The sequence below is a fragment of the Homo sapiens genome, chromosome 1 (assembly GCF_000001405.40).
Source record: "Homo sapiens chromosome 1, GRCh38.p14 Primary Assembly".
NCBI classification, from domain to species: domain Eukaryota; kingdom Metazoa; phylum Chordata; class Mammalia; order Primates; family Hominidae; genus Homo; species Homo sapiens.
The window spans coordinates 121106818-121120028 of NC_000001.11; the positions used below are offsets into that span (position 1 = coordinate 121106818).

General features: G+C 41.5%; 2 pseudogenes across 6 annotated transcripts in view; both read right to left on the reverse strand.

Annotated features, from left to right (window-relative positions):
- Positions 1 to 11809, reverse strand: part of H3P4 (H3 histone pseudogene 4) — a 58864-nt pseudogene extending 47055 nt beyond the window's left edge. Inside the window, exons 1-3 of one of the 3 annotated variants that reach the window (NR_160940.1) lie at positions 11377 to 11809; positions 10049 to 10412; positions 358 to 1752 (exon numbers count right to left, since the gene is read on the reverse strand). The product of NR_160940.1 is annotated as a H3 histone pseudogene 4, transcript variant 1 (transcript). Of the gene's footprint in view, positions 1 to 357; positions 1753 to 10048; positions 10413 to 10737 lie in introns of those variants that run through there. The other 2 variants (NR_160941.1, NR_160943.1) reach the window with 2 other exon arrangements.
- Positions 358 to 10475, reverse strand: H2BP1 (H2B histone pseudogene 1; annotated as a pseudogene). Of its 3 annotated transcripts, NR_160942.1 has the most exons (3): positions 10049 to 10475; positions 3050 to 3347; positions 358 to 1752 (listed from the first exon to the last, which is right to left on the reverse strand). The product of NR_160942.1 is annotated as a H2B histone pseudogene 1, transcript variant 2 (transcript). The 3 variants fall into 3 exon arrangements; NR_027337.2 differs by lacking the exon at positions 3050 to 3347; NR_160944.2 differs by lacking the exons at positions 358 to 1752; positions 3050 to 3347 and having other exon boundaries at positions 9981 to 10475.
- Positions 11810 to 13211: the final 1402 nt, after the last annotated feature.

Consider the following 13211-nt stretch of genomic DNA (forward strand, 5'->3'; position numbering starts at 1 on the left):
ACGAAAAATCTCCTACAAAGACACTTAAATAAGTAAAATCATCAAATTTTCATAATGTAACAGGGAGAAGATTGAAGAAACCAAAAAAAGCAAGTATGTTCCTTTGCTGGAACTAATCCTATGGCTAATATATATACAAGTTAATCAGCATACCTTTCTCCTGCTCATTATTCTACATATAATATGGGTCTTAAGTAAGTAAACATTCCAAACTAGATGAAATACAGTTCCAGAGAGAAATTATAAGTAGTTTAAGACTTAACCCTTTGTATTAGTCAGAGTTCTCCAGAGGGACAAAACTAATAGGGGAGACATATATCTATAGATATAGATAGATGATAATAGATTAGATATAGATATATTAAAAGGAGTTTATTAAGGAGAATTGGCTCACATGATTACAAGGCAATGTCCTACGGTGGGCCGTCTGCAAGCTGAGGAAGAAAGAAGCCAGTAGTGGTTCAGTCTGAGTCCAAAAGCCTCAAGAGTAGGGAAGCCCATAGTGCAGCCTTCAGTCTGTGGCCTAAGGCCCAAAAGCCCCAGGCAAGCCACTGGTGTTAAGTCCAAGAGTCCAAAGGCCAAACAACCTGGAGTCTGATGTCCAAAGGCAGGAGGAATGGATGGAGGCATCCAGCACAGGAGAGGGATGAAAGCCAGAACTCTGCAAGCCAGCTTAGCCCACCTTCTCTCTCCTGCTTTGTTGTAGCTACCCTGGCAGCCGACTGGATGGTGCCAACCCACATTGAGGGTGAGTCTTCCTCTCCTGGTCCACTGACTCAAATGTTAATCTCCTCTGGCAACACCCTCACAGACACACCCAGAAACAATACTTAGCTATCTAGGCATCCTTTAATCCTATCAAGTTGACACCTAATATTAACCATCACACCTTAGGATTTAGAATTTTCTTAAGAACACTGAATGACCCTTGCCCAGGATCGTATCTGTGCTGTGTCTGAAGTCTTAGACTCCCTCCTGGCCTAAAGAATTTTCCTTCAATGCAATGAAAAATGATAATCCCACAAACTAGAAACCAAGACTTGTGCAAAATCAAAACATTGCAAAGGTGGGTGTGGGGAAATCAAGCTATTATCTTTAGGTATATTCTATTCCTAGGTGTTTAAAACACTAATATTAAAAAGTGATATGGAGCTTCACCTACCCTCTGGCAATTTGCAGTTATTGTCCTTTGATCATGTAAAGCAACTGAGATCATTTGCTCCTGACTTCACTTCACTAATCTATATCCTTCATTTTTTGCTCCAAGTGTTCCTTCTTCTGAGTGCCTAGTGCTGCTCCAGTACCTAGATATCTCTCTCTCCCCCTCTCTTTCTGTCTCAATATCCAATCAATCCCAAGCTGTATTACCTCTTTACCAACTTTGGGAAAGTGGACCAGTATCCAGGCTTGGATAAGCCAAGGAAAAATACTAAGGAACTGCTTAAAGCTCTAGTAGTTCTTCTACTTTGCTGTTTCTGGCTTTGGCCATCTAAAGCAAAGTTCCTTGGATTGGTTGACAGTGAGATAGTCTCTAGATTCTTGTGTCTCTTTTTAGTAGGACCACCTAAGATGTATCATCCATTGTGTAATGAGTTCTTGACCAAAGAAAAGAAATCTTAAGGTCTTCGGACTCTGTCATCTTTCTTGTTTGCCACTCTTTGGACTGTAATTTGAAGAGAAAAAACCTTGTTTTCTTGTGAAAATTTTGGATGCTGAGTAGTTGACAACAACAGTAACTTCAGCTAGAAAATGCTGGAAACAATTTAATAAGCAGAAATGATTAACTCCAAAATCATCAACATGACTCCACCAACCCCATTTTTAAATTTCTATTTAAACATTTCCCAAATTATTTGCACATTCTTCTTTTGGCTGTAAGTCTTGTTTTTCTCTATGCTAGCTAATAGTTTTCTAGATAATTTCTATTCCCTTGACTTTTTCTTATGTTAAATCCTCAAAATTAAGAGCTTTCAACTCAAAAATCAGAAATAGGAAAGAAGTGTTTAATGAAATGATTTCACTTTTTTCTGAAAGTATTGACATGAAGTATTAAAAGCATCATCTGATAGAAAAAGAAGGTACTTGCCAAATGTTATATCGGCCTTTATAGAGCACTAGTAACAGACACTATAAAGTCTTTTGTTTCCTAATTTATTATTTTCCTAATGGGCCACATAGCAGACACTGAAGGTTCTACGTAACAAAGGTCCTACAAGTAAATTGTGAAAATCCCTTATTGGATGGTGTTTTTAGAATACAGAAGGTCTTATTTCCTTAATGCAAGATGCTTAGGGAAGTCACTCTCAAGTCACTAGAAATCTATTAAAGCACCACTTGCTGGAAAATGGAATGTGCTCTGGAAGTACAATGGTGTTCTTGCTAGCGCCTTCCTAACCATAACAATAATAAGAACACTGATCAAATATTTACCATGTTCCAGCCACTGTACTAAGTGCTTTGGGTACATTACCTCATTTAATCTTCATATCAAGCCTAGAAGGTAGTTTCCATTATTTTTTCCACTTTACAGGGGAATAACTTGAGGATCAATTTGCTGTAAGGAAGTTTATTTATCACAACAAGTAAAGAAAGTTTTCCAAGGTCATACAGTCCTTACATGGGGAAGCTATACTCAAAGCTGATGTTCATCGCCACTACAGGCTAGTGCCTTCTCAGCAAGAACTACTCTTACAGTGCTAAGAGGAGAAATGGGCAAGTTGGTAAGAGCCAGAATATCTGTTGTTGATATTACAGATACAGCTCTGAACTTAAGACCCTAAAAATGATCTCCAACCTCAGTTGCCTCTGAGAGCCTTCAGCGTGATATGTGATCATGTGAGAGCCACGTTATGTGTATTCTTTTTACCACCTCTTCTGTATCCATCTGGAGATAGTTCTCTTTTCTGTTTTTTCTAGAGGAAAAAAACAACGACAAAAAAACAGGGAGATCTTAGCAGAACCAAAGCAGATTAGATATTAGCCTTGAAAATGGTGACAGCAATCAGTGATATTGAACCTGAAATAATTTAAATAATTATTGGGGACTTACCAGAGCTAAGTTCGTGGACCACTGGGATTTCTCTTATTTGGGTCTCATAGTCTTCCATAAAGTGATGGGACTATAATTGTCCATCTTCAAGTATCCTTCTATGACTCATGTATAATCCCTTGACTCTTTTAGGAGATTCCTGGCAGTTAATGTCAATACTGCCCTTCATAATGCTTCTGAGTTAGCTTAGGTAAGGTCCTTAAATACCCAATGACTTATACTCTGAGGCTTCTAAACTGGTATGTGGAACTCGGTGGTTGCAACTTCACCCAAATCCTCATTCTGTGTTGTGCTGTCCCTAATTTAGAGGGCAAAATATTTCAAACTCAATCATTTCTTGTTAAATTCAACTCTTGGAGCTCCACCTGTCATAAACACAATCCCATTTCCCATGTACTCAATTACTTCTGTTTCTCGAATCCATCATTCATCCCATAGATATTGAGTGCCTAATGTATTCCAGATATAGTTCTACATAATAGGGATAGAGCAGTGTATGAAACAAAGCACCTACCTTCATAGGACTTATTCTGAGGAGGTAGGAGGGGAGACAAATGATATAATAACTTAGACTATATCTGAGTAATACAACAAATAAGTCTTTAAAAACAGTGGCTTGAATAAGATACAAGTTTATTTATCTTTCATGTAACAGTCCAGGGCTAATAGAGCAGTTCTGCCATCCTCATCACAGGGCTTCTGCCTCTGGGTCCAAAGTAGTTGCCCCAATTCCTGCCATCACATCTGCACCCCAGCCAGTGGAGAGGATAAGAGGGCAAGGGTAACACATACATATTCTTTTTTAGGGCACAAACTAGAAATAATACATGCAACTTCCATTCACATCTCATTGGCCCCAAACTTTGGACAAACCCAGATGCAAGAGAAGCTGGTAAATTAGCCTTTAATTGAGAAGCCAAGCGCCCAGAAAGCAGGGAGTTAGAGTATACAAGGAAAGATCATTTTTATGGATATCAGTCTCATTCAGAAATAAACAAATAAATAAATACATTAGTATTCAGATGGTATATGGAGAAAAATTAAGAAAATTATGAGAGGCCGGGCGCACTGGCTCACACCTATAATCCCAGCACTTTGGGAGGCCGAGGTGGGTGGACCAAAAGGTCAGGAGATCGAGACCATCCTAACACAGTGAAACCCCACCTCTACTAAAAATACAAAAAATTAGCTGGGTGTGGTGGCACTTGCCTGTAGTCCCAGCTACTCGGGAGGCTGAGGCAGGAGAATCGCTTGAACCCAGGAGGTGGAGGTTGCAGTGAGCCGAGATTGCACCACTGCACTCCAGCCTGGACAACAGAGCGAGACGCGAGACTCCATCCCCCAAAAAAAAAAAAGTTACGAGATAAGGAATACCAAGAAGTGAGGAAAGAAAAGGAGGGGAGCTTGTTATCTTACCTAAGATGTTCAGGGAAGACCTCAATGACAGTTGGTAAAGTAACTTCTCAGCAAAAGCTTACAAGAAATTAGGAAGCCAGTCATGCAAATATCTAGGGATGAGCCTTTAAGAAAAGGAAATAGCAAGTGCAAACATCCTGAGATAGAAGGGCCTTGATGTATTCAAGGAAGCACAAGGAGAAAATTATGATGAAATGGAGCAAAACAGGTAAGAGAGAGGGTCAGAGAAGTGAATGTGGGCCTTGATGCTGAAGCCATTGGAGGGTTTTCTGTTGAGGAGGAGTATGGGAATGATATGATCTGACTTATGTTTCAAAAAGTGTACTCTAGCTGCTTTGTGGGAAATATAGGAGGGAGAGAGCAGAATCAAGGAGGCCATTTAAAATGCCATTGCAAATATCCAAGAGAGGTGGAAGCTTGGAGCAGGGAAACAGTGGTGGAGGTGGTGAGATGTGGTTGGATGCTGGACATATTTTGAGCCAAGAGGATTTTCTGATAAATTGCATTTGGAAAATAAGAAAAAGCTTATTCACTCACCACTCTAATAGTCACACCAGTCTATAATCCCAGCACTTTGGGAAGCCAAGGCAGGTGGATCACTTGAATCCAGGAGTTCAAGACCAACCTGAGCAACATAGTGAGACCCCATCTCTACAAAAAGAAAAAACTCTAAAAATTAGCCAAGCATGTGGCATGCACCTGTAGTCCCAGCTACTCAGGAGGCTGAGGTGGGATGATCACTTGAGCCTGGGAGGTCAAGGCTGCAATGAACTGTAATCATGCCACTGCACTCCAGACTGGGTGACAGAGCAAGACCCTGTCTGGGAAAAGAAAAAGGCATGGCGGGGGGCGGGTGTGGTGTTTCACACCTGTAATCCCAGCACTTTGGGAGGCCAAGGCAGGCAGATCACCTGAGGTTGGGAGTTCGAGACCAGCCTGGCCAACACGGTGAAACCCCATTTCTACAAAAATACAAAATTAGCTGGGCATGATGGCTGGCATCTGTAATCCCAGCTACTCGGGGGGCTGAGGCAGGAGAATCGCTTGAACCCGAGAGGCAAAGGATGCAGTGAGCCGAGATTGTGCCACTGCACTCCAGCCTAGGTGACAGAGCAAGACTCCATCTCGAAAGAAAGAAAAAGAAAGAAAGAGAGAGAGAGAAAGAGAGAAAAGAAAGAATAATCACACCCCAAGAAAATCAAGCTAGGACCATGGTGAACAATGCTCCAAGAGTGTTCTGATGCTGTAAACTGAGTGTGATGTGCATAAATTGTTTTGCACTCTGCAGGTAGGAGGGTGGGATAGCCAAAGCTGTTCAATATAATAATATTAAAAAATAAAATCTCAATTGAAGTAAAATACAAATTTTCTTAAGCAATATTTTAAAGTAAATGGAAATGTTACAACCTGGATGAGGGGTGAGGAATTAATAACCTCTAATCACAGAATAAAAATGGAATGAGAATTCCATCTACCCAAATCAGACAATTAAAAAGTCGAAAGAGGTTACAGTAAAAATTGGGTAAAACTAAAACTTAAAAAATAATTTCAGAGGATACATGATATACTCGTCACACAGAAAACTCCAGTTGAATCTTATGGACTTGAGGAATGGATACCTTTGTTTCTCCATCACTTAGCACAGTAGCTGGCACCATGTAAGTTCTCACAGAATTTTCCTGAACTCTCCAACCAGAGGCAACCTTTCACTCTCCATTCACATAACATTTCCTTCTTTCTCTTCTTTTGGGAATAACATATCTTGCTTGAATTATATTTATCTTTATGCCAGTTTAATTCTCTCTTTTAGATTCATTTACATCTTTGTATCCTCTAGCTCATTATTTTTTCAAAATAAAATGGATTAACAAAAAATTATTAAAGAGATAAACTAAAGGAAAATATTACAACCTGGCTGAGGGGCAAAAATTATATGTTCAACATATATTTGATAACACATACTGAGAAAACACGGTCTACTTTTACTTTTCAGAAGTTTGTTCATGTTGACATTGTGGGGCCTAGAAGATTTTTATCAAGTTTTCTATTTTTGCCAAGTCATATGATCTGCTATAGTTCAGCTATAGTTAACCAAATGTAGAAAAGAAAAAAATTTTCCATAATATCTAGTAATTCTCCAAAACAAGCTTGTTCCTTGTTATAAACACTGACATTCTTTGATAACTCTCACTTTATCCCACAGAGGTCATGTACTTATTTCCCATCTGTTGTCCTATGCTTACATTCCAAATTCAGTTGCATTGACTTTTAGAACAGCTTTAGGAACTGCACCCAGTTTTAAAATACATTATTTGTCTAAAAATTATGACATGAGATTAAACTGTCATCTTTGTAGGTTTCTACACATACTCCAACTCATTCACCAATCCTTGAAAAGATTATGTAACCAATCTCAATGCCCTGACCCAGGCCAAGCCCATTTCTACATGTGCAGTGTTCTCTGGATCTGATATTTAAAGCCCCTTATCCTGATACTACACACCTTTTGTCTTCTGGAATGCACCTCTCTTCTCATCCTTTTTCAAGGCACTAGAAAAGCAGACCATTTCTGCAGCACCTCAAACCAGGGTGAGAAAGCTCCACTCTAATCTCATCATTTTAGCTACATAGATACATTGGCTCAAGGGAAGATACCAAGTGTAGTACTTTACCACTCTGAGGATTTTTGAATCTATAACAGTTGTTTCAACTGGGCCAATAATTATGAAGGGCAATAATTAAAAAGAGTATCCATAGTAAAGGAGTAAGAAAAAAAGTTAGAAAAAAAGTAGAGAAAAATATTTACTAGAGTATTTACTAGAACCCACCACTCTCAGATCAATTTTCTAGTGTTCTGTTGACTGGCAACTAGTCAACAAACTTTCATTGAGAAGCTATTTTATAGTAGGCATTGGGATAGCCTTTGTGGAATAAATACCGAGAAGCATGTCTCTAGCAGAAGACAGACAAGAAAATGTAAAAACAAGAAAAAGAAATTGAGGAATAAGCCTACAGTTTACAAAGCTACACAATTATTCGTTATGCAAGGAATGAGGCCTTAAGAGAAAGACTTCCCTGTGAACTACAATGAGATGAAAAAGCTTCTCAGAGTGAGATTTGAGCAAGAGTTTAAAAGAACTGACAGACTGATAAAAAGCTTCAAGTAGTCCAGAGGACTGAGTACTAAAACTCAGAACAATGTAACAAAAGCACAGAAGACAAAGTTAAGATGCTTTACATGACAGTAGAACATTTAGGCTAAGCTGGAGGACTGGGGAGAACAAGTGAAGAAGGTAAGTTTTGGCTAGATAATAGGTGGCCTTTAGTGTCAGGATGAGGATTTGGAAGTTAATCTTTTGGTCAGTGGGTAATAAATGATGGCATTTGTGTAGTTGAGCCAGTTGACAATGCTTTAACAACTTCAAAAGGCCCTGAAAAACATGGTCCCTAATCCTTAAGAAAAAAGGAACTCCTGACTTCAGGACCCTAAGCTAGGAGGAGATTGGATAAATTCTCTTATGGCCCAACTGTATAGAAAATAGACCACCTCGGCCGTCTCACTTACTGAGTAACCTTTCCTACCAGAGAATGTGCTATATATGATTTCTTTACTTTCAACGGAAATTTTGGATTCTCAGTTATCTTTCCCTGACCTCTTGTCTGGTGATCAGAAAAAGATGACTAAACTGGGAATCTTTATTTTCTAGTGGAAAAATAATCATGTATACCGCATTTTATATCTTTTAATTGGGTGTAAATTTGAACTTCAACATCATAAAAATTAGTAAAATTCATTTTAAGCACAAAGTTGTTAATTCCCCCAAGATTTATCAAGAATGGCTTAATTTCAAAGGCTGTCAAGTTAATTATAAGCTAAGATTTTCCAGTTGCACCAAGGGTATATTTTATTTGGCAAAAGAAACATCCACTGGCTTTTGTCAGGATGAGTCTTGAGTTATTCAAGTTTTGAACTTAGAGGTCTTCAGAAATTCACCCCACATATTAACTGTGGCCTTCTCTACACCACAAATTCCCCTCCACTCATCCTCAAATTGTTTCCTTTCTCAGAACATCTGTGACACAAAGACTGTGACACACCCACAGGTCGATTAACATGAGGACCCAACACCTATTAAAACATCCACACTCCTGAGAACACTAAAAACCAACCACTTCGTCAGGTCCCACCTCCAGTCTCGCTGAATCAGGAAACCTCAAGAGAAGCACCTGGAAGCAGGTTTAACAAGCGCAAGGCCGGGCGCGGTGGCTCACGCCTGTAATCCCAGCACTTTGGGAGGCCGAGGCGGGCGGATCACGAGGTCAGGAGATCGAGACCATCCCGGCTAAAACGGTGAAACCCCGTCTCTACTAAAAATACAAAAAATTAGCCGGGCGTAGTGGCGGACGCCTGTAGTCCCAGCTACTTGGGAGGCTGAGGCAGGAGAATGGCGTGAACCCGGGAGGCGGAGCTTGCAGTGAGCCGAGATCCCGCCACTGCACTCCGGCCTGGGCGACAGAGCGAGACTCCGTCTCAAAAAAAAAAAAAAAAAAAAAAAAAAAAAAAACAAGCGCAAAGGTGACTCTTATAATTGGGAAAGTTTGGAACCAAGACAGGGTTCTTGTCCTGGAGGAAGTATTTTCCTGTGGAGAAGGACCTGTAAACAGCCTATGAAGTGCTCAGCTTTCACCAAGAAAAACATGGGCTGATAGGGTTAAGGAAAAGTTTGACTGAAGAGGATTAAATCCTGAAGGTTAGGGATGTCTTTGGGCGCTGGGGTCTCTCAATCACCAAAGATAGACATTACAGGCCAGGTAGCTCTTTGTCCCCCCAGAGGACTGTCCTGTGCCTTATGCTTAGCACTCCTGGCCTCTGCCCATTGGATACTTCTAGCACCTCCCCCCCAACACACACACACCTGACAACCCAAAACATCTACAGATATTGCCAAATACTCCACAGGGGGTGGGGTGGTGGCAATATATCTCCCTGTTTGAAGTCACTGGAATGGAAGTTAGGGGAGGATGGCTAAGTCAGGACTTGCAAAAAGGCTAAGGGACGAAAGCACATGGCTATATTAGACAAAGTTTGTGACAGACGCCTGTAGGTATATGGTAAGGAAAACAGATTAAAACACTAAGAAATAGTAAGAGGTTGGACCGAGGGTTTCTCATCTGTATGGGAAATCTCATCTCGTTCATTACTTTCAGAAACAAAAAGGAAAACGACTTTAAAGATACAGGTTAAAGGCTGAAGGGGTGTAGAACCACCCCCCGCCTCCTTCCCTCCATCCTTCCCAAATATCCCAGAATGAGTCAAACCTTTCTAATCTCGTAGCACAGATAACAAGCAACTCAGTAAGACTAGACGGGGATGACTGAGGGCCAACTCATTACAGGACTACAGGAAACTCCTTAGTCCTAAACCCGAATGCATCCGTGACCATGGTAACACTCCCTACCTGACCAAAAGCTATCAAACGCTCTGACAAGTGTTTACAGCTGCTTTCTCAATTACTGAAGTGGCTCTGAAAAGAGCCTTTGGGGTTAGGTGGTTGATCTATTGCGTCCCTTGCACACTCTTACTTCGAGCTGGTGTACTTGGTGACCGCCTTGGTGCCCTCGGACACGGCGTGCTTGGCCAGCTTGCCGGGCAGCAGCAGGCGCACGGCCGTCTGGATCTCACGGGATGTGATGGTGGAGCGCTTGTTGTAGTGCGCCAGGCGGGACGCCTCTCCCGCGATGCGCTCGAAGATGTCGTTGACGAAGGAGTTCATGATGCCCATGGCCTTGGACGAGATGCCGGTGTCGGGGTGGACCTGCTTCAGCACCTCCTACACGTAAACGGAGTAGCTCTCCTTGCGGCTGCGCTTGCGCTTCTCGCCGTCCTTCTTCTGCACTCTTTTAACAGCCTTTTTGGAGCCCTTCTTGGGAGCAGGAGCGGATTTCGCTGGATCCGGCATTTTTGCGCGAAAAAAGAGAACAGACACTTAAAGAAGTAATCCGAACTACCGCAAAACGGGCTGGTTATGCGCTACTTATAGAGCCTGTATGCAAATGAAGACTCGCAAAGTGCTGCGCTTTAATTGGTTAACTTACAACGGTGTCGTCAGAGGGGGTGGAGTCTATGTAAATAATAGATTCTAGTCTTGCTTCCTTAATGGTCACTGTAACAAAAGTCTTGTTATCCAATCAGAATGTTCCATTTCACACTAACCAGTTTTAAGCTAGGTGAAGCGATAGTTTCAACGGCTTGAGGTTTTTTTCTTGGTTTTCACTTTCCATTAGACTTGCATACGGAAGAAATCTTAACGCCAGCTAGACAAGTTAACTCTCTTGCCTCGTTTTTGCATTTTTATTCTATACTTTGTGGAAATTTTTTTCTCTTCCTTGAAATACTACCTCACCCACACATTTTTAAAAATCGCCAGATATTTACTCCCGCCCGCTTAAATTACTATTCTGGCTTGGACACCGCCTGTAGTATGCAATGAGGAAGATGCTGAGCTTTAATTAAGCTTATAGTTCCTAAATAAACCAGGAAACGGGTTTATAATTTTTAAGGGACTCGCCCCACCCTTACACTCAGGATCTTCCACATCTAGAAACTCCCCATAGTCTCTTGCCCCCATGCAAAACTTTACCCACAGAATTGGGAGCCGGACATCTAGCCTTAAACCAGCGTGAAAAGGCTCGGCCGGAACCACAAGGACCATGCCTCTGCGGCTTTCTCTACTGCCGGCCAACTCACGGCTGGGCTTTGGGTTCTGTAACGTCACCCACCACGAGTGCCCCTGGCCCCTGACTGCTGCGCAAGGCAGACGCACATCAGATGGAGAGCCGGTACAGCTGCTCTTGATGAAAACGGCAGTGGCTCTGAAAAGAGCCTTTAGATCGACCACTTAAAAATATACCTTAGGCCCTCTCCCCGCGGATGCGGCTGACCAACTGGATGTCCTTGGGCATGATGGTCACGCGCTTGGCATGGATGGCGCACAGGTTCGTGTCTTCGAACAGCCCCACCAGGTAGGCCTCGCTGGCCTCCTGCAGCGCCAGCGCCGTCACGGCCGAGCTCTGGAAGCGCAGGTCCGTCTTAAAGTCCTGCGCGATCTCGCGTACCAGCCGCTGGAAGGGCAGCTTGCGGATCAGCAGCTCCGTAGACTTCTGGTAGCGCCAGATCTCCCGCAGAGCCACGGTGCCGGCCGGTAGCGGTGCGGCTTCTTCACCCCGCCCGTGGCCGGCGCGCTCTTGCGGGCCGCTTTGGTAGCCAGCTGCTTCCTCGGGGCCTTGCCGCCGGTCGACTTGCGGGCAGTCTGCTTAGTACGGGCCATGCTGTCTCATTGATACGAGAGGGTCTAGGCAGTCATATTTATAGACATAGCCTCCTCTTGATTGGGCCTGAAAAGGAAATTTTCAAACTTGTGATCTCATTGGTTAAAATTCAATCCTCTTTACTGGGGCGGAAGATTGTTCTGCTAATCTTTCTTCCCTTATTATTTCCCCCTTTCCTGATTTTTTTCTGTAATTTTATCGATCACGGATTGCTTTTGAAGACTTTCCTTTAAATTAGTCTAACTTTTGTAAAAGCAATGTATAAAGTGTTTTGCATCCCATTTTAACAGAGATTTTTTTTTTCCCCGAATTCAAGCATGCCCTTCTATGAGCTATCAGCCTGTTTCAGGTTACCTGTTACTGTAGCTCTTCTACCATAGCTAACATTTATTTCATGTCTGGCATTTTGCTCAGCAAGTTAGATGCATTGTATACCATGAATGACCGAAGCTTAGCAAAAAAAATATGTAATTGAAGGAATGAAAAAATTGATCTTATTTACTTGACCTTGGAACCCAGCCAAAGCCATTTCATGTGGGTAGTGTGCTGACCTATATTGACCTGATATTAGAGCCTCTGCCTTCCTTTAGTCTTTTCTCCCTGCGATGTGGTTCCTTCTTCCTCACCCTCACATCAATGGCCAATTAGGTCCTGCAGATGTTAAGCTTCTAAATCAAAGAAGGACAACACCAGAAATTCATTTCTCCTTTACAATGTAGAATAGTTTGTAAATTAGTGCTTATTAGCCAGATTACAAGTTAAAGTTTCAAAGCAAATTATTCATCAATTGCTGACTTGCTAACATTTTATTCAATAAAGTATTTTATAATGCTTAAAAGTTTAATATTTTTTTCTGTTCTCTATGAAGAGAGTAAACATGCTTTGCTTTTTCAATTTCATGTGCTTTGAAGTATGTATTGTTCAGAACAGTAAATATCATAGTGGTTATGTAGAAGCAACTGATACTTAAAAGTTGTAGTAGTTAATATAAAACTTTTAATCATATGCTTATTTTACTAAAAAACATTACAAACTATAAAAACTCAAACCTGAGAAAAGCAGGCCCAAAACGCTTAAAACTTACTTTGATGGTGTCATTATGAACTATCTTCCTACTGAAGTCAAAGTAAAGTAAAAGTGATTTCAAGGGGACTTCCTGAACACTAAACACAAAGTAGAAATCTGTGAGCTTAATTAATATCTTCAAGAGTCTCTCATGGGCAGAAGCATCCTCCTCTCGAGAGATCTAAAATGTACAAAAGTGTAACTGATGTGAACAAATGTTATCCCTCTCTGTGGTAGTTTTGTAATAATGCCTTACAGACAGCAGGCACTACTCAGTGTTTAAAGTTCTTCTACATACACTTTATCATTTAATCCCTACTCTGTGAAATAGATCTTACTCTTCTCACTTTAC